This window comes from Homo sapiens, chromosome 10 (assembly GCF_000001405.40).
Source record: "Homo sapiens chromosome 10, GRCh38.p14 Primary Assembly".
Lineage (NCBI taxonomy): Eukaryota > Metazoa > Chordata > Mammalia > Primates > Hominidae > Homo > Homo sapiens.
The window spans coordinates 131240859-131261279 of NC_000010.11; the positions used below are offsets into that span (position 1 = coordinate 131240859).

General features: G+C 51.4%; 1 protein-coding gene across 3 annotated transcripts in view, besides 6 other annotated features; it reads right to left on the reverse strand.

The window, feature by feature from the left end:
* TCERG1L (transcription elongation regulator 1 like) overlaps positions 1 to 20421 on the reverse strand; it is a 219331-nt gene that overhangs the window by 148468 nt on the left and 50442 nt on the right. For 2 of the 3 annotated variants that reach the window (NM_174937.4, XM_047424966.1), the window contains exon 4: positions 19401 to 19586. In NM_174937.4, coding sequence (NP_777597.2) covers positions 19401 to 19586 — 186 coding nt within the window. Of the gene's footprint in view, positions 1 to 18110; positions 18693 to 19400; positions 19587 to 20421 lie in introns of those variants that run through there. The other variant, XM_047424967.1, reaches the window with a different exon arrangement.
* Positions 8773 to 9345: an enhancer, noted in NCBI's record as "H3K4me1 hESC enhancer chr10:133047894-133048466 (GRCh37/hg19 assembly coordinates)". NCBI's record gives its function as "activates a minimal SCP1, AML or CMV promoter by ChIP-STARR-seq in naive H9 embryonic stem cells {active_cell/tissue: H9 hESC(naive)}" and the evidence as "EXISTENCE:reporter gene assay evidence [ECO:0000049][PMID:30033119]".
* Positions 9346 to 9917: an enhancer, noted in NCBI's record as "H3K4me1 hESC enhancer chr10:133048467-133049038 (GRCh37/hg19 assembly coordinates)". NCBI's record gives its function as "activates a minimal SCP1, AML or CMV promoter by ChIP-STARR-seq in naive and primed H9 embryonic stem cells {active_cell/tissue: H9 hESC(naive and primed)}" and the evidence as "EXISTENCE:reporter gene assay evidence [ECO:0000049][PMID:30033119]".
* Positions 9918 to 10489: an enhancer, noted in NCBI's record as "H3K4me1 hESC enhancer chr10:133049039-133049610 (GRCh37/hg19 assembly coordinates)". NCBI's record gives its function as "activates a minimal SCP1, AML or CMV promoter by ChIP-STARR-seq in primed H9 embryonic stem cells {active_cell/tissue: H9 hESC(primed)}" and the evidence as "EXISTENCE:reporter gene assay evidence [ECO:0000049][PMID:30033119]".
* Positions 11695 to 12195: an enhancer, noted in NCBI's record as "H3K4me1 hESC enhancer chr10:133050816-133051316 (GRCh37/hg19 assembly coordinates)". NCBI's record gives its function as "activates a minimal SCP1, AML or CMV promoter by ChIP-STARR-seq in naive H9 embryonic stem cells {active_cell/tissue: H9 hESC(naive)}" and the evidence as "EXISTENCE:reporter gene assay evidence [ECO:0000049][PMID:30033119]".
* Positions 12196 to 12696: an enhancer, noted in NCBI's record as "H3K4me1 hESC enhancer chr10:133051317-133051817 (GRCh37/hg19 assembly coordinates)". NCBI's record gives its function as "activates a minimal SCP1, AML or CMV promoter by ChIP-STARR-seq in naive H9 embryonic stem cells {active_cell/tissue: H9 hESC(naive)}" and the evidence as "EXISTENCE:reporter gene assay evidence [ECO:0000049][PMID:30033119]".
* Positions 18374 to 18939: an enhancer, noted in NCBI's record as "H3K4me1 hESC enhancer chr10:133057495-133058060 (GRCh37/hg19 assembly coordinates)". NCBI's record gives its function as "activates a minimal SCP1, AML or CMV promoter by ChIP-STARR-seq in naive H9 embryonic stem cells {active_cell/tissue: H9 hESC(naive)}" and the evidence as "EXISTENCE:reporter gene assay evidence [ECO:0000049][PMID:30033119]".

The following is a 20421-nucleotide window of genomic DNA, read 5'->3' on the forward strand; positions in this document are numbered from 1 at the left end:
ATAGGAGAGGTGGAGAAACCGGCGTGCAGGTCCCCTGCGAGGGGCTGCAGCGGCATCAGGGCCTTTGGCTCAATCCCAAGAGACTCATCCAGGGCAGAAGGGGGCCAAACCAGCTCCCAGGCCTCCTCCTTCACCGGGAAAGCACGGCCAAGGTCTATGAGGCGGCAGTGAGAAGACATCGCAGCAAGAGCGGAAGATTGAGATCATCAGAGAGAAGAGCTCACCCCGGAGATGGAGCAGAGAACTCAGGGCACCGCACAGAAATGGTGATGAAACAAGACAGTGTGGATCCGGAGAGTGGAGGAGCCGCCCGCACGCAGAATGGGTGGAGGGCGGTGGAGAACACGAGGCTGGGGGTGGGGAACACAGGAAAACTAGGAGGTGGAGGAGGTTTTCAAAATGTCAATAGATTTAGAAAACAAAGTTAAGGAAGTCTACCAGAATGTAGGAAAAAGTCAAAGAGGCAAACACAGGAGAGAAAAGAATAAGAGACAGGGAGGGATGACTCCTGATGCCCGGGAACCTGTGGACAGGAGCTCCAGGAACTAAGTGCAGGCAGAGGAGGAGGAAGCACCTGTGACATGCTGCGTGACATGCAACGCATCGTCCATACGCAACATGAACACAGGGGATAGCGCAATATAAAAACATAAGAGAGGACATGCATGAACACAGTGGATAGCGCAATATAAAAACATAAGAGAGGACATGCATGAACACAGTGGATAGCGCAATATAAAAACATAAGAGAGGACATGCATGAACACAGTGGATAGCGCAATATAAAAGCATAAGAGAGGACATGCATGAACACAGTGGATAGCGTAATATAAAAACATAATATAGAACACGTATTAACAGCAGGAATGTATATGTGTATACATATACATGCTTATGTATACACATATGCATCTTTGGGTTGAAAATGCCCATGGAGGTTTCCACAGAATTAATATTTTAAAATGTCTAGATGTCATTAGAAAATCACTGAACATCCGAGATAAAACGGTCACAATTACCGCAGCATTTCTACAGAAAGAAAACACAAGTCACCTGTACAGTAACACAAACTCAGTGAGTCTCTCTCATGGTAGGGTCAGATTTTAAAAGGTAGTAGAGCAATTCCTTTAAAATGTTGAGGGAAAACAATTCAAAGTAACATTGTACAACTTGGCAACCTATCAATCAAGTTTGAAGGGCAAGAACAGAATTTTCAACACCGAAGGGATCTGGAATACTTTTATTAGGAGGTTGTTTCTGGCTGTGCTCCAGCAAGTGAGATTGTGAACTGGGAAAGGTGGAGATAATACATTCGGGGAACGTGGCTCCCAGCCAGCAGAGCAATGGCACGAAGTTCCAGCGTTGCAGCCGCCAGGAGGAGCTGCTGAGAGTATAGACATCTAGAATATGGATGCTGTGAGGAGTGAGGGGCCTCCAGGGAAAAAGGACGAGAAATAGAATAGAAAAGTACAGTGAAGAATGTGAAAAACATCTTGGCAATGTGTAAGAGAAAGAAAATGGGGACTGGCTGGACGAACAGGCAGAAGTGCACAAGAAAGTCACCATCTAATCTTTGGGCAAACGACAGAGTGGCATGACTGGGAGCACTCAGAGAGTGGTCAAGGTGCGGGTTTCACTCTGATACTAAATCACGGCACCAGCGACTTTCAAGGGAACAACATCTACTTAATTATACTGTTGAAAACCTACACAGTGAGTATCCCTTATAGGAAATGCTTGCAACCAGAAGCGTTTCAGATTTCAGGGTTTTTTTCCAGCTTTGAAATACTTGCAGAAATACATACTCGTTGACCATCTCTAGGCTGAAAATCTGCATTCCAAAATACTCCAAAGTCTGTGACTTTTTGAGTGACAGCAGGATGCTCAGAAGAGAAGCTCACTGGAGCCTTCTGGATGAGGATGCTGCACCTGTGTCTGTGTGTTTATTTATTGACTCATTAACCTGTAGGATCAGTCTAGGAACAAAACTAGAAAATCTGGTGGTCCCTGTAAAAGCGAATATAATTATGAACACCCTTGAAAACAGAAAGGGAAAAGTGTTAACTGACAGAAGTTAGGACTCAGAAAGTTGAAGAAATAGGGACGTCAATCTCCACGTGTTATAAAAAAGAAGGTCACCATTTTGTGAAACTCATCATGTTACTGAAGAAGAATGAGGGGCTTGTTTTATTTACATTACGATTTATTTAAAGAATAGTTAGTTCTGAATACCTAAAGTTAGAAAATACCATTGTGTGGGGCTGTGCAAGATTTTGGTTCGCCTGCACGATAATAACAATCGCCAACTCGCTCCTGCCTCTCCACACTCACGCCCTGTGAGTGTCCCTCCCACGCTGACCCTGGACTTCACCATGGACCTGCACTGGCCAGTGAGACAGGAGTGAATGTTACATAAGCAGAGGCTTAAAAACTGCAGGCATGGCCAGGCGTGAGGGCTCACACCTGCAATCCCAGCATTCTGGGAGGCCGAGATGGGTGGATCACTTGAGGTCAGGAGTTGGAGACCAGCGTAGCCAACGTTGCAAACCCCGTCTCTACTAAAAATACAGAAATTAGCTCGGTGTAGTGGTATGCACCTGTAATCCTGGCTATTTGGGTGGCTTGAACCCGGGAGGCAGAGGTTGCAGTGAGCCAAGATTGCGCCACTGCACTCCAGCACTCCAGACTGGGCAACAGAGTGAGACTCTGTCTCAAAAACGAACAAACAAATAATACACATGCACACTGCGGCTGTCCTCTCTGTCGTTCCTAAAACCAACCCTGCAACCTTGATGTGAGAAACATGGTCCTGATGTGAGAGGCACGTGACCAGACACCCTCTGTTCACCAAGACGCAAGTAAGTGACAACCATCTTCAGCCAGTCAGCCACCAGGCAAAATGGCAGATGACCTGATGCACAAGGGACACATTATTAGCTCGTGACTTGTGGGTCAGCAATTTGAGCTGGGCTCAAAATAACAAAATCATGAGATAGGTCGCTGAGAAAAGCCCAAGAACTGTCCAACTGAGCCCAGCTCAAATTGGAGATTCACAAAATCGTGAGCTACATAAACAGCCATTATTCAGAAGCTCTCTATTTGGGGATGGTTTGCTGTCCCACAAAAGCTAAGGTTTCGGCTGTGCAGCAACAGACAACGAAAACTATCTTCCTCTTTCACAAGATGTCAACAGCCATTGTCTAAAATTGACACACCCAGAGATCAAGATATCAACTGTGTAATTATAAAGGAAAAGTTAACTCGCAAAAACGCAAGACATAAAATAAAAGTGCATCGATCGGAAGAGGCTGCCCGTGGGGTGGAGGCCCGGGGTCCTGGGGCAGGAGGCCCTTGCTCATCACCAGCCATCTCCCTCCATGAGTACAGGCACATGAGTAAAAATAAGTATGAAAAAGTGTGACCGTGAAGCATGAGAAATGCCAGGAGCAGAAGTGTCAGGTGCACCCACATGGAACAGGCACGTGCTTTCATCCGGGGGTTCAAGGAGTTCATCCAGGGGAGAGGGAGGTTTACGTTCAGAACAGGCAGCCCTGGGAGAGTGGAGCATGCAGAGTGGGGGTGCTTTGGGAGTAGGTGGGGAGGGGCCTCTCAGCAGCTGGCTAAGATTCTTTAAGGTGCGCTGGAAGAAACTGCAAGAAGTGTGATGCCCCCATGGTTGAGGTGGAGGGGACAGTTAGAGTTTGTCTCCAGAGTACACAGCAGTGAGCTCTCACTCCCTGTGGTAGCCCCTTCCAGCCATGGCCAGGACTTCGGTCTCAGTAACGCCCAGGGTGCCGTGGAACTCCCTGGGGAGGGTCTGGTTAGGATGGCCAATTGGGGAGGGCTTCCAGAGCTCAAAGCCATTGAAATCCTGGCCCAGGCTGAAAGAGTTTTACCTGTGGACGAAGTCACCTGCGCACTTTCAACAGTGCCGTGGACTAGTGGGCCCAGGTGTCCCCCAGGGAGAGAAGACATCAGCAGCTGCCTAGAGTCTCCATGCCACCACCCCCTAGATGGGCAGGGAACTGTGAAATCCCATGTCCATGAGCACAGGCAGGGCCAGGTGTCTTCCTGCCCAGGACACTGGGGAACAGGAAGAGCATCAGTAACATAGGCAGATGCTGCAGGGGGACTGGGTGGGAGTGTGCTGGGCACAGGGGAGTGGGGGAGCCCCTCAGCTGCTGGAAGGCACCTGGACAAAGCCCAGCTCCACCCAAGAAATTGGCTTGCTACCCTGCCCCCGGCCACAGATCTTGGCTGATGGGAGCCTGGTGGGATCTTTTGAGCTCCTGAAAGGTCTCATTGGTACTGCTGCCACCAGTGTGCAGAGCAGGGCACTGTGACCCCAACACACACCAGAGAAAGTGTCAGCAAAACCTAATTAAAGAGTGAGATGAAAGGAGCCTGCAGGAGCAATGATAATTACAGCATTTAATCCACCAGGCAGCGTGGCCAGGCCTACCTCTTTGGGGTTCTCTGAGTTTGTTTATGATAAATTATTTCTGGGAATAACAGCCAACATCATAGCTTGTTAATTGGTTTAAAATAATAATTTTTTTTTTAAAAAAACTGAGAAGTTGAAGTCGACATTAGCTTCCTAAAAGCCCACAGTCACTTCCCTTGAAGAGGGCTTCCCTCCCTCCAGCCTTCTGCATTTCCACCCAAAACGAGGGGGCGGCTCTCCGGGGGCAGCGACAGGAAATATGACCAAGCCCGCAGCTCACGGTCCTCCCTGGGAAACTACGTGTCCTGCCCACAGGCCGCCGCCACATGTGGCTCTCTGGTAACCTTCAGTGGCGACAGCCCAGAACAGGCAGGGACCTTCCCGAGGGGCTCCTGCCACTGCTCCTCGGTACAGGTTAGTGTATCATCCTCATAAAGAGCTGGTCGAGTTCGGAGTTGGCGGGAGGGGTGCAGTGGGTGGGAAGTGCGCACGGGGCCTTTGTATCAGAGCTCTGTGGGGTGGGCTGCAGGGCCTCATGGAAGGGCTGGCCAGGAGTCCTGCAAGGGCCTGGGTGGCAGAGGCCTCGGGTGGATGGGAGTGTAGGTGGAAAGAGTTCCCAGAGCAGGCAGCGCCAGGGAGCAAGGTCCAGGGCCCTTGCTGAGTTGATGGGAATGACGGGGTAAACAGAGGCCGAGAGCCCCCCAAGTGTCGGGTCTTCTGGAAACACTGAGGCTCTGGTGAGACACAGAGAACCAGCCCTGCTGGGTTCACGAGAGCCACAGCCTTGGTTGGGCACCTCCTGGCTACAGGGCCCATCCCCTGGCTGGAGGGGGGATTGCACCTCAGCCTGGCTGTGTGGCTCAAAGCCTAGCAGGGAGATGGCACCTCGTGCATGACAGTGGCAGAGGGGTGGCTGCACTCAGTGAGGCTTTCTGGGGGTGGCACGAGCTGAGTGCTGGAGGATGAGCAATTGTTGGCCAGAAGCATGGCGAGCACCATGAAGGAAGGCTGGGGGCCAAGAGGCTCAGGAAGTGCTGAGCAAGGAGAGAAGAGGGGCAGGTGTGTGCTGGAGAGGGCGGCCATGCTGGACCTGGAGGGGTCTGCTGGTCAGGCCAGGGTGGGACCCAGTGATGGAGGCTGGGAGGTGGGCAGGGCAGGCCCCACATGACTGGGACAGCACACTACAGTCTCCACAAGGATGCGGAAAGTTATGATGAGAGGAGGCATTTCCCAGTTGGAGAAGAACGGCAAAAAACAGAGGACAAGTTAGGGGCTTGTGAATCTCCTCCTCTCCCTCCCCTGCCCCACCGCACCCCACCCCACCCCACAGGGAGCTCCTCCTTCCGTGGTGGGTGCCTGCCTGAGCCAGAACTCCGGGATGACTCAGGGATGCGGCAGAAGTCCGTAGCAAAGGAGCTTGGTCCAAAGAGGAGGAATTGGGCAGCCACCTTCCAGCCTTGAGGCTGGGCCATCCCCAGAAGTGAGACGGCCTCCCAGCCACACACCCCTACAAGGCATCCCCCTGCCGGGAGCATAGAGGTGGGGGCCGCACACTCAGCGGACAGGACTCTGAGACTCAGAGTTCAAACCAAATAGCAGGCGCCCTCTCGCCCACGACGCCGGCGCTGCGGCACAACAGATTCCCAAGCTGGTGGGGTGAGATGTGTAGGGAGGGGAGTATGCCCAGGCGCCCTCTCACCCACGACACCGGCGCTGCGGCACAACAGATTCCCAAGCTGGTGGGGTGAGATGTGTAGGGAGGGGAGTATGCCAGCTCGTTCAGCAGCCACCAAGCCCAGGTGCCACAGTGCCATCCCAAAACAGGAAAGTAAACTGAATTACACACATAGGCACACATCCACACCACACACAGCGACGGACACATTTTCACTGGAGGTGGTTGCCCATGCTGTGCCTACTCAAAGGTACCCTGTGCTGGGCAGACACAAAGTGGCTTGCATGTGTATATTAGTTTCCATTAATTACTATAAATTGAATATTAGATATTCAAGTCTTACACATTCCCCACAGCAAATTATATCCTCGCCTTCCTTTCTACCATTATCACATTCTGAAACACGCATATGTAGATCAGCATCACCTACCAGCCCCAGGCTGGGTTTAATTCCTATTCTGTCCCCAGGAGCTCCTTCCTTAAGTGTCCTCAGTCAAGAACCAAATGATTCTTGAACTCTGGCAAGACCCACCCCTGGTCGAGGCCCTGAGGCTTATGAATGTGAGATAAGGCTTCTGTGGCAGAGGAGTTATCAGATGGTGAGAAGGACAAGATAGAACACATGTGGTGAAAAGAACCCTGGAAGAATAACCACCCTCAATGGTGGCAGCACACCCAAGAGATTTTAGAGGAGATGAACTTTCCCTTCTCTGTCCCCATCATCCATCCTTGATCAATTCACACATCTGGTCCATTTACCCTTTTCCAAATGATTCTCAAACCTGATTCTCAAACAAGGCTCTCTCTCCATCCCCACCACCAGCAGCACCACCTCTCCCCTGCCTCCTGCCATGGCCTCAATCAGATCACTCACTCACAAACACTGTAAATTCACACTGACACACCCATGTGACTCAGGTGCACACACGCACACACACGCATACACACGACTCACACACAGGTAAACTCACATACACACACTAAATTCACACCCACATACCCACATGACTCAGGTGCACATACACACACACATGCATACACTCACACACACAGGTAAACTCACACACATTGTAAATTCACACCCACATACTCACATGACTCATATGCACACACACACATGCACACACATGATACACACACTGGTAAATTCACACACACACGACACACACATACGCTGGTAAACACACCCACACACCCACATGACACACACAAACACACACTACTCACACACAACTCTCTCACACACAACTCACACACACACGACTCACACACACTGATAAACTCACACCCACACACCCACAGGACACACACACACACACGACACAGATGCCACCCAGGACTGGACCCAGGTCTTGGCAGGAAATGTCAGAGCCAGGACAATGACAGAAAGGTCTCCATGTCCCTAGCACTGAGGCCGTATTAATTATGACCTTGAGAGAGGTTAAGTCACAAAGCACACCAGGCTGATCTCTCTCTCTCTCTCTGCCCTCCTTGGCTCGGAGGGCCACACTCCACCCGTCAGCCACACCTGGTGCCCAGTACCTTCCCGTAGCCTTGCCTCCCCCACGCAGGCCAATGGACTCTTCCCGTGACCCCCTAGACTATCTCTGCCTTGGGCTGTGTGTGGCTGGAGGGCCATCTTAGCCTAGTTCGGGACAGGCAGGAACACAGGGAATGAGAGCCCCCGTGCTGCCCTCAAACACATGCAGCTGAGAGTCACTGGGAAAAACATAGCTTTGCTCCCTGAGTGGGACACTCTCAACATGCACTAGGCTTTCTGCCCAAGTCTCCGGCAGAGCTGAGCCCCAGTGCCATGGGGTGTCATGCCCGGCAGAGGCTCCTTCTGCTCCCATCACAGCCCCCCCAACCGGTGCTCGCATCCAGTCTTTGTCTCAGAGTCGGCTTCTGACTGGGGGTGCCCAGCCCTCCAGGTCATGCCCATCCCTGGAATGGTGCCCTAGGCCGCCCTCGGCAGGACCAGCCGCCCCGGGGAGAGGCAGGATGGGATGGAGCTGACCTGGTGCACAGAGGCGATGCCTCTGACTTGGGGCACTGAATCCTCCTAAGGGAAAAGGTTCCCTCTCACGCTCACTTGTAAACAGCCAGAACCCAGCCTGATGCTGGGAATCCAGCAGGGACTCAGCAAAAGTGGGGCGGCTGACTGATTCATCAGGTGGGGGCTGGGACAAAATGATTTATTTACAAAAGCTCAGGTTTACTCTTTGCATTGTGCTACAGTCCATTGTCTTAAGCAGATATAAGTGATTGTTCCTGCCTTCTTAGCAGAGGCAATATCACTGTTGAAGAAAAATAAAGGGAATACAGCAAGCTCTGGAAAGCCACCCGGCTACCCCAGCATAGGGGCTTCCATGGCCCTGGCAGTGGCTCCACCCGGGTCCCCAGTATAGGGGCTTCCACAGCCCTGACAATGGCTCCACCCGGCTACCCCAGCGTAGGGGCTTTCACGGCCCTGACAGTGGCTCCACCCGGGTCCCCAGCAGCTGTTTAAAGCAGCATCCCTGAGTCCCTGGAGGACAGTGGCCCTCTCCAGCCATGGCAAACGCACACTGGGGTCCTTGCAGCCCAGTAGCATGTTTCTTTCTTTTTTGTTGTAATTATCATAAATTTTGTTCTTTTTTGAAAGCCTCAGAAGTAAGCTTTCTTTCTACTTGTGCAAACTTTCAAAATATATATCACCAGTCTAAACTGGAATCACATATCCACTCTCCCGCTCCTGGTTCTACCTGGCTGGGCGCTCCATGGGTACGACGGCCACACTCGCTGGCTCACGCATTACTGGCTTGCTTAACCTGAGCAGCCGAGGCTGTGCTCCCCTCCTTTTCAAATCGTTGCAGGGAAACAAAAGCACTCCGCCTGGCAAATAAGAACCTGGGGAGAGAAAGCAGCACTCTCTGCTTGTTCACAGAATAATTCAAACACTGTCTCCTCCCAGCAAAGAAAGCTCTGCTCCCAGAAAGGAGCACACACCTGTCCCAGCATTCAGAAAGAACGCAAGAGCAAACACTGTTCGGGGCAGCCAGGGACACCCTGGAGGAATAAAGCCACACGATTTGAGTCACGGGGCACCAAGGAGGTATCACAGACCAGGCAGGAGCCCAGCCGACTCACATGAAGCTGCATGCGGCGTGCACGCCTGACGGGGGCTGGCAGAGCCCACCTCGCTCCCCTGCAGATCCTCCCAGAGGCTGTCAAGGAGAATCACCAGACACTGAGACTGGCTGGGGTTTCTGCAAGTGGCCTGGAGGGTCATAATCTTAAAGAAGTAAAAGGAAATTGCTAGTGCTTCCTGCGAGATGAGGACTCACAGACGCAGGCTAATCTGTCACTCACATGCCGAGCGGGAGCCTTTGAGAGGTTTGCAGATGTTCAAGTGAGGTGGAGGGATCGTGGGCTATTTTCCTTTTCTTATTTATGCTTCTCCACTTCTTTCCTCGGGGTTCTAAGTCAGCGCTAATCATTTCAATAGCATCAGACCCTCCACAGGGAATGGTGGCCGGTATATCCTACTTGGGGAATCTCATTCCACGAACGCAGGGAATCCTGAGGAGACACACATGGGTTGTGAACCGAGTCCTGGCTGTCACTCATCGCTTGCCTAGATGTGAGTGGAGCCAGTCTTGAGCCACAGCAGGGATGGGACAGTGAAATGGTGGACAGCAGTGCCTGCCCGGGGCCTGCCCTAAAGCACCCTCTTAGCCTCTCTTCCTCCTAGCCCGGGAGCCCAGCGCCCTGTTAGTTGACTTCTTAGGGAGTGAGAAGTTCTGCCTGCTATGAGCTCACTCAGCCTTCTGGTCATAAACACTGACTAAACTTTCAGCTGCCCGCAGAGCATTTGACACATGGGGTCTCCTTAGCTGGGTGGTCTCCCAAGCCACATTCCTCTTTCTCACGGCTCCATGTGACATAGGACGTGCCAGACACATAAAGTCCTTCCCTCTGCAGCTCTCTCATTTCACCACCGACACTGGGCTCCGCTTCCCACCTGTGCTTCTAGATGGCTCATGCCTGGGAGAGTTGGGGCCCAGCCAAATTCTCCGGCTTGTCGGAACATCATCACGCTCTCAGGCCGTGGGTCCGTCTCAGGGAACCCACTCATCTTTGCTGTATGGTGCCCCTTTCAAGACACTGAGAAATTCCAGGAAACACAATGACAGCAGAGGTGTCAGATTCCACACTGCCACCTCTTCGTTCCCCTGGAGCTCTGCCGTGGCCCTGACCACTCCCACGCCCTTCTGCCCAGGCCAGCAACCCCAGCTCACTGGGCTACCTGCCTGTGCTGGGAGCCAGTCCTGACTCTCTGCCCCCTCCCCCCGGCCCCTCCTCCCAGCCCAGCTCAGAACAGCCCCTCTCCCTCTGCTGCTTCCTTCATTGCGAATCCTTGCAGTCACAGACCTCGGGCCAGCCCCCAGGCCCTGCTCTCTCCTGCTCTCTGCAGACCCCACCCAGTCTGCCAGCCACCTCCAGGACAGCACATGCCCTTTGCACCAGCCACCCTCACCCAAGCTGCTGGGCCTCCTTTCCTCTTTACACCTCAGCTTCTACTGTGTTCCGGACTGCTGATGTGGCCAGATATCCGGTCGCTGGAAAGGCCATTAGCAGAGCTGATCAGAGGAAATGCAGAAATGGAAGGCACCATGAAGGGTATAAGCAGGAAGAGGTTTTCACTGTTTCTTACTTAATGCTGTTCTTCTGACCCTCTCCAAGGTCCCTCAGATAAACTTCATTCATGTGCATATGAGAACACGCCTCCTTTTCTTATTGTTTTTATTGTGGTAAAATATACATAACATGAAATTTACTGTCTCAACCATCTTGAAGTATACAGTTCAGTGGCATTAAACACATTGGCAGTACTTAACGCCAGCCGTCACCACCATCCACACTCCGAACTATTTTACCTTCCCAAACAGAAACTGTCCTGGTTCAACAATGACTTTCTGTTCCTCTTCCCCTAGTCCCTGGCAAGCACCCTTCTACTATCTGTCCCTGTGAATCCGATGGGGGACCTCGGATAAGTGGAATCCTATAGGCTTGTTTCACTGACCATCGTGTCCTCAAGGTTCTTCCATGCTGAAGCAGGTGCCAGCAATTCCAGCTTTTTTAAGGCTGAATAATATTTCACTATATAGATATGCCACATTTTCTTTATCTATGCACCCATCAATGGACGCTCGGATCACTTCCACCATTTGTGGGAAAATGTATAATGCTGCTATGAACATGGGTGCACAGATAGCTGTTTGAGACCCTGATTTCAATGGGTGAGTCACATGGTAATACTATGTGTAACTGAGGACCTGCCACACGGTTGTCCACAGCTGGAGCTACTCTGAAGCACCAATGTTGCTTTAGGGATGTTCGTTCAGAGCAACTGCCACATGGTCTCTAGAGTTTAAGTATGGACAGCAAAATGTCAGCTTTCTCCCACCCAGACCCCTGGATGGAACATGGGCCTGAATGTCAGCTTTCTCCCATCCAGACCCCTGGGCAAACACAGGCCTGCATGCTCCTGAACACAGGCTGTCCTCCCCTAGGGCACGGATTTCATTCATGCACCAAACGCGTCTATTTGAGTGTTGGGACCGGAAGACTCTCCAGTGTGAGCTGCAGACCAGCCGTCTCCAACGAGCGCCCATCAGGGACCGCCTCCTCTACCGAGTCCTGAAACACATGTCACTCTCCCCACTTCTGACAGCCACCCACCATGGATACTATTTCCAACAGTGCTGTTATCACAAATTAAATAAAGTGGCCTGTCCCGGGAAGCAGCTGCTGCTCCTGCTGCAGTGAGTACACTATGACATGTCCTGTCTGTGGTTACAGCAACATGATCTGCACAGTGACCAGCCTCCTTGCACGATGCTTTCATTAAAGCAGCCATGGGTGACTCCTTCCTCCCTGATCTGTCTACAGACCAACTATCTCCCCACCCTCCTTCCAGGCACACTTCTAAATCTGGTCCCTGCTTGAAGACCACAGGGACCCCCGGGGATGGCAGCACGTACCGCCATGTGCCTGATTGAGGCCGTAGCGCCTTCCCTGCTGGGCCGGTCACAGACTGTCCCTGAGGGTCCTCAGCACAGTAGGCATCCAGCCTCTCATGGGCTCTTGGCCTGTGCCTGCCAGGCGGACCCAGCTGAAGTTAGCCAGTGTCTCTTCAGCACCAGGAGCCCGGCCACCATCGCAGCCACCGGGTGATTGATTTGAGCACCGTGTCTCTATAGACGGACAGGAATGACAGCTGGTGGGTGGGACTGACAATGGTGCAGAAGAACGACATCCTGGGAAAATCCTCGGAAAAGGATTGCTGAGTCCCGCCCTCACTCTGCCCCTCACTTGTACTGGGATTTAGGTAAACTGGTCTTCAGTGGCCTTCGACCCTGCCCCCCAGCTTTCAGTAATGGAATCGGTTGCCCAGAGTCCACAGGCCTTTCAGCTTGAAAATTTTGGATTCTGGGAAATTCGAATCCCCAAAGATTGTGGTGACTGGGTCACGATCACCTCACTCTCTGCCTGAGCTTCCCATCAGAGATTCCGGTTAATGCTGAGCTGACCAGCATATTCAGCGGCTGGGTGACGTGGCATTCACCGTGCTGAACGCTTCCTGACTGTGTTTGTCTGTTTGTTAGGATTGGGCTGGGTGGGTGTGCGATGAAGGTCTGCGGAGTAGGGCAGCCATCTCTGCACCATCTCATAGAGAACACAGAGAACTGTCGACCAACACGCCAGAGCATCGTTGAAGAGGGTCCTAACCACAGTGCACAGGTGTGGCTGGATGCTGTTCAATCAGCAAAGAGTCAACGAGAGGTAACTTTGTCCCAAGAATTGTTCCTGGCACCAGGGCCTCAGTGGTGAATAGATATGGGAGGATCCTGCCCCTGAGGGTGTGACATGCCAGTGGGGGAGAGAAGATAGGCCAGGAATTGACACCGAAGAGAATTGCCGGCGATGATAAATGCTGAAAAGCAAACGCAACAGTGAGGAGAAGGAGTTCGTTCCAGGGGCCACTTCAGGATGGGAGGACTCGGGCCACGTGCTGGAGCTGAGGCCTGAACAGTGGGGGAACCACTGGCCACATGAGACACCAGGGGGTGGAGGAGAGCGTCCAGGCAGAGGGGCCGGCCGTGTGAAGGTCCCGGGGCAGCCCTGGCCTCACAGACTGGGAAGGCACCATCAGGCCTGGGGGACAAATGGAGGGCTGCTCAGGAAGTAAGGGTGCAGGTGGGTCACACAGACAGTGACCCCAGACTCCAGAGGAGTTGGGATTTGTTCTAACCTCCAGAGCAGGCAATCACTGGATTTAAATATATATATATATATATAGTAAGTATTGATTTATTTATTTATTTTTATTTACTTATTTATTTTTAGAGATGGGGTCTCACTATGTTGCTAGGCTGGACTCCAATTCCCAAGCTCAAGGGATCTTCCAGCCGCAGCCTCCGGGGTAACTGGAACTACAGGTGGTGCCCCTGCGCCTGGCTCCTTGGGGGCTGTAAGCAAGGGCAGACTTGGCCTGACAAAGGTCCTTGAGAAGTGAACTCCAGCTCCTCTGCAGAAAATAGGGCAGAGTGGAAACAGAAGTACTTGCAAGAGCCTCAGTCCACAGATCTTGGTTTGGACCAGGAAGGTGGGCAAAGAGAGGAGGAGGCACCGTGGACTCGGTGTGGGTTGGGAGGAGGACGGCAGTGCCGAGGGGCTGGAGAGGAGGCATCAGGCAAAAGGAGGCGTCAGGACGACCTCTGGTGTGAGGCACGAACTCCTGGGCAGACCCGGGGCAACGTACTGAACTGGAGAGTCTTTGTGGCAGGGGGTGAAAAAGGTTTACTTGAAAGACCACAGGAGAAACAAGTGTTTTTGTTTTGATTTCCATAAACAGAAGCATGGGTTGGGACATCAACACTTCCTTATAGAGCGGTGAGGCTTGAGGGGTTCATTGGGAAGTGGAGGTAGTTGCATCCGTCAACCTAGAGCTCCAGGAGGAGGCAGAGGCTGGGCTGGAGACGGCCTCATTCTTATCTATGGAACACTGTGGGAGAGGAGGCACCAGGCTAGAGAGATCTGTGCAGAGATGCCCCGGGCAGAACACCAGCAGGGTGTGGTTTCAGAGAGTCCTGAGAAGATAGTGCTTCCAGCAGGAAGGAAGGGACAACTGAGTCTGACCTTTCAGGTGGCAGGAAACATTCCCCACTGGCAGAGGGGACAAGGTGTTATATGACTTCATACAAACAAATGCTGCACAAAAGTGAACAAGATGGTACCACCACTGCACATGCCAGCAGGGACAACTTTAAAGAAAGCATATATCTGAGTGAAAAGGCCATCGCAGAAGAATGCGCAAACTATGTTAACATGTATGTGAAATTAACAAAAACTAAAGTATGCAACATATTGTCTAGAGATAATGCATATGCATATGGTAAACATATATTTTTAAAAATAGCAAAGGAATAATTGGCACATCTTCAGGGGAGCAGTGACCTCTGGGGTGAGCAGGAGGTGAGGCTGGGGTACTGGGAACATCACGTTTCTCAGGCTCGGAGGGAGGCACTGGGTGTCTATTGTATTAGTATTCTCTATACTGGACATAACCTTAGGCACGCTGTGGCGTGCATGATATATTTCCACATTTTCTCTTCAAAGAGAGGGTGAATTGGAGCTAACAGTGGAGATGGCTAACGGCTAACGTAGTTAAAGTCAGGGTGATTCTCAGGGTAGGCACAGGGAACGGAGCAGCTCAGAAAGAACGCGAGGTCCCAGGAGCATCGTTTTCTAGACAAGTGAGCCAGACCTTGCTCATAGGAATGATTTCCCTGTGAAAGCAGCTCTCCTCTTTAGAGCCCAACAGTGGGAAAGTCTGCACCTTATACAACTAAATGTAATAATGCCAGCTCAGATACTTGTAGTTGCATTCTCAGTAAGAATTCACTTATCATGCGTAACAAACTATACAAAAGGGGTTTGTTGGTTTAAATCCAGTAAGTGTTCCACTAGAGGTAACTCAATCCTCCATTAGAAATGAACACGTGTTTCCCGCACACGCCAGATGAGTTTCAGGAATCTTGAGGTATAAGCAATTATGTTGTTACAATATTTTTGTCTCTGAAAATCTTTAAAATGTTAATATGTATTATGACATTTTTGATTATAGAGGAGGAGGAAACAATTCCTGGATGATTTAAAAAAAGACCTTATTCCCAAATGTCTGAATTACTGTTGTTATAGAACCTGCTTCAGCATCTGCAGATTTTGCTAATGAGGAAAGCCGACAGCAACATGAAAGGCTGCGTGGTAGAATTCTGGCTTGGAGACTTTCTGACTTGGCTGGTAAGTTACTGATAGAACAAAAAAATAGTCACTTCCCAGCTGTTCTGTGGCAGGACAAAATGTTAAATTTAAACCATTAAATAGTTCTGGAAGCAAAGAACAGGTGGCAAACGGCTTCCCAGGCAGATGGCCCTTTTTAATATCTGTTTGGTAGTTACCTGCTCTACCAGAGACCAAAAGTACTCACTCATATTTCACTCTTCTGGCCTGGACAATTCAGTCATGGTGGGCCAAATTTTAAAAATAAATGCTGTCTTTCTTAAAAGAAGGATCACTTTGGCTGAGCACAGTGACTCACGCCTCTAATCCCAGCACTTGGGGAGGCGGAGGTGGGCGGATCATGAGGTCAGGAGTTCGAGACCAGCCTGGCCAACATGGTGAAACCCTGTCTCTACTAAAAATACAAAAATTACCTGGGCATGGGGGTGTGCACCTGTAATCGTAGCTACAGGGGAGACTGAGGCAGGAGAATCACTTGAACCCAGGAGGCAGAGGTTGCAATGAGCCGAGACCGCACCACTGCACTCTCAGCCTGGGCGACAGATCGAGACTCCATCTCAAGAAAAAGAAAGAGAGAAAGACAAAGAAGGAAGGAAGGGAAGGAAGGGAGGGAGGAAGAGAAAGAAGGAAGGAAGGAAGGAAGGAAGGAAGGAAGGAAGGAAGGAAGGAAAGAAAGAAAGAAAGAAAGAAAGAAAGAAAGAAAGAAAGAAAGAAAGAAAGAAAGAAAGAAAAGAAAGAAAGAAAAAAAAAAAGTTCTGTGAGTAAGTGGAACAGGAGCAGGCTCTGCCCGGCCTATCAACGCTCAGAAGGGAGCGCTGTCCCTGGAGTCAGGGGAATTGCTGTGTTGGGTGCAGGCAGGGCGGGGATGGAAAGATGCAACCTCTGCTGGAGACCCACTGCCTGGGAGGGGCCAGCCTGATAAACAGATCCCCGTGAAGCAGAGGCCAACGGACACAAAGGACACCCCATCCCCTGGGAGGGCAGCAGGGACCAGCCTTCCCGCCCGTGCTGACACCACTCTGAAAGAGAAGCCCGGTTCACGGCTGAATCTGGACCTGGTCACGGGCTCTTTAAGTATTATGTGGCATCTTAGGTAAGCTAAATCTAGTGCAAGGCACCGAATTCAGCACAATCTTTATGACTGTGGACTCTTTCCAACACAGAGCCCGCTCCTTCAGGGTCAGGGTAGTGCCACATTAACTCTCCCAGATGAGCTTAGCCGGGTATCCAGACAGGTTTTCATGGTGCCTTAAGCAGAGTTCTAATAATACAAACCCAGGTTTCTCCACAGAGCCACTACCTATACTTTGGGCCAGATGATTCTCTACCATGGGGGCTGCCTGGGGGTTGTAGGATTGTGGCATCTTCCCTGGCTTCTACCCACCAGATCCCAGTAGCAACCCTCAGGTCATGACAACCAAAACACATGGATAGTCACACTGCCAAATACCCTCTGGTTGCAGAATTGTCTCCAGTTGGGGACCATTAAGCTAAACCACGTGGAGCTCTGAGGTTACTGACTTTTATATCAAAGTCCAGAATGTAAGTAAAACAGTCAAGCTCATTTATATAAAGTGGGACTTATCTTCCAAATAAAAACAGGATTATTCTTCTGTAGATAAATTAAAGGTCACATCCTTTTATAAAATCAGTTTGAATATAGAGCAAACTTTGGAGTGAGCTGTGTTCTTCTGAGTCCATCAGCACCTGCTTTGCATTGATGTCCTTCTATTTCCTCTCCGCCAGGCCGGGGCCACTCCCTCTACCCACCCCTCCATGGGATAGCTCATCCTTGTCCTGCCCCTGCCCAGTTCATCTATTTTAAGGGGTATCAGAAATTTCCTAGGGGGCTGCCTGGGCATTCGCTGAGACTGCCCATCAGCAGAGACAACGCCTTGCTCCCATCGTTCTGTGGGCCTCTTGCGATGGTTTAGAAAACAGCCCGAATGGCGCAGATAGGCCAGCTCTCTATCCCATCTCCGTCAAGTCTTGGTTTTCGAAAAGTACCCCAGGGACATGTTAGGATGGTTTTCTTCATGGGCATGACAGCCTTGCCCCGAGTCCAGAGGAGGCCGCCAGGGCAGCACTGCCAGGCAGTCCCACCTCCCAATGGAGCCCTCACCAGGGGCGCCCCTGGCAGCACCACACCCACCCATGAAGCCTGGGTTGGGCCACGCTGCTCACAGCTCAGACCTGCTCATCACCGGTCCAGACCCAGCCTCCTGGTGGTATTTCAACTTCAACCTGCATCCTGTCCTATGGGCAGGGTTTCCAGGTCAGATGGATCAATTCCAGCAATGGGAAGGCAATTTTAGGAGCTACCTTCTGAGTAACGCCCCTTTCATCTTCCTGTCAGGCCATTTTTCCAGTTATCTACAGGACAGATAACGTTGGTGCTGGCCTCGTTCTAACTGAACACGCATTATTGCAAATTTGATCATGGAACCTTATAAAAGGCAAACAAGAGAAGATGCCTAATTGTTATGTCACCTTATAAATCATGTCAGAGATATGGAAAGTGAAGCTGCCCCTGAGGTACACAGCTTTTGGTTCTAAGATTAATTTTCCTCTGAAAACAGTAAGTCACCCCTAATACATGTCAATGTACTAGTAGGTTTAACCAAACTCTTGACACAGCTGTAATTTATGTTCCACACCGAGATTATCCATGTGTTTTATTTATTTTCTCCATCACACTCTAAATGCATGTTCACTGACATGCTGACATAGAAATACAATTTTGATCTTGAGAATACAATATCCGACTTATCAACTAATTCATCAAACCAGCATAGAAATAGCGAACGCCGAAGGTCCATTGTTGAAAAAGACCACATTAGATTTACTAGCAACAAAGTCAACAAACTGCAAACACTCCAAAAATTGGAAAGTCATGGAACTAGGCTGTTTGTCTTTCTACCATAAAGTAGTAGGTATATATTTATGTGTGTGTGTGTCTATCACAGTCTAGTGATACATTTCCTGCTACTGATAATCTAGCAATTAATGATATTAATACAATCTTCCATGGAATTTCTCTTCAAGTTTTACCATCTCACATGAAGAACTAAAACCAAAATAACAGAGTAAATCCTCAGTTCCTGGGAGTTGGCACTGTCATTCCAAATTAATGGTGCTGTTCCTAAGTTTGAAGAAACACGCATTTCACAAGGATGTCTGGGTCACGAAGCGTGCAGGTTACAGTTAGTGGATGGACACGCATGCCTGTGAACACGCAGGGACAACAGAGCTGCAGATGGGACCCAGGGCCTCCCATCTACCCTGAGTGCCTCATCAATGCATCTCACACCTCTCAGGACACCAGAATGGCCACCCTCCGGGCCCCTGCCCCGAGGACATCTCAGAAAGGGAGCACGTCTACTGCATTAATGAGCTCAAATGCCTTTGTGGCGGCCCAAGCCTCTGGTACTCCAAGCTGTCACAGTGGGTGGGACCCCAGCCCCTGTGTCCAGCCCAGGGCCAGAAGGCATGCCAAGTGGACTGCCTGGGGGGAGCAGCACACGGCTTGGCTCTGCGCTCACTCACCAGGCTCCACTCCAGCACGCCAGCCTGCACGTCCCGTGCAAGAAAATCACAACTTCCTGGGGTGCTTGCACTCCCAGACGCATGCATGACTCCCCCTAAACTCCAGTTAGTAAAGAGAAGTCTCATTTCCTCAAACGGAAGCTTTCACCTTGGCTTTACAGCAGGAAGTGCCAGGGTGGACCTGACAAGGTGGCTCAGTGGAGTCGGGTCGATTTGCAGGGTCCGAAGTCAAGCAAAGCCCAAACGGCCCCAGCCGAATGTTTCCCTCAACCGGAGCCGGGCTTCAGGTCCCACAGCGCCTGGGCCCAGGCCAGGGGCATCTAACCAGGAAGCCTCCGCGCGCTCGCTAAGGCAGCACCAGGCGTCGGGACGGCGCTCCGAGCCTACCTGAGACGGGGGACGTCCGGAGGGGTATTTTGATGGGTGCCAAGGTCAGGAAGTGGCGCGGCTGCACGCTGGAGGGGGACGGGCCCCGGAGGTTCTCAGGGTCCACGGAGACCATGGCAGCGGCGGCGGCGGTGGCGATGGCAATGGCGGGGCTGCTGGTCACCTTAAGGCTGTTATGGCAGCCACCTGCGGAAGAGGGATGCAGAGGGTCAGCAAGGGGACGACCAGGGCCATGGGTGACAGATGCCCATCTCGCTACCGCAAGATATCAGCCCCCAGAAAACAGGTGAGGGGGGCGCTACCCCTCTTTAATGGAGGCCCACAGTATGTGCCACCGTCCGCAGAACAAATGCTTCTGATGAGTTCTCCATCAGTCAAACGCTGCCATGCAACCAGTGCACACACAGAGCCGTGTGATGCCCAGTGAGCTGCAAGGCTTACAGTCACCAGGGGACGAGCCAGGACCCGGGTGCCTTAAAGAGAAACTGCTTGTCCCTGGTGCCAGTGTGTTAAGTACCTAATCAGAAGTGACCATGAACAGCACTCAGTGATTTGGAGCAGAAACCGGTGAAGGCCCAGGAGTGCCACATAAAAAAGTGGGGGTGGTTTGGAAGAAGGGGCAGCTGTGGGCCAGGGTGGAGAGAGGTTTCCAGAGGACACCAGGCTCAGCTGGGCCCTGCAGGGAGAGGGCGGAGAGGTTTCCAGAGGGCACCAGGCTCAGCCGGGCCCTGCAGGGAGAGGGTGGACAGGTTTCCAGAGGGCACCAGGCTCAGCTGGGCCCTGCAGGGAGTGGCCGGTCACCAGACCAGCTGCTGCAGGAGACACCCACACCCAGCTCAGCGTGGGTCGCTCCTTGAGAGGAGTCAGACTGCAAGCTTGGAATCAGGCATCTTTTCTGACATCAATGGACGCATCTGAAAGTTTGCTTCTTCCTCTGCCTTTTCAGTAAAACATTTTTTCTTTTAAAAGACTCCTCAGTTTCCCAAATAAATGTGGTATCTAAGAAGTATTTTGTAGGTGC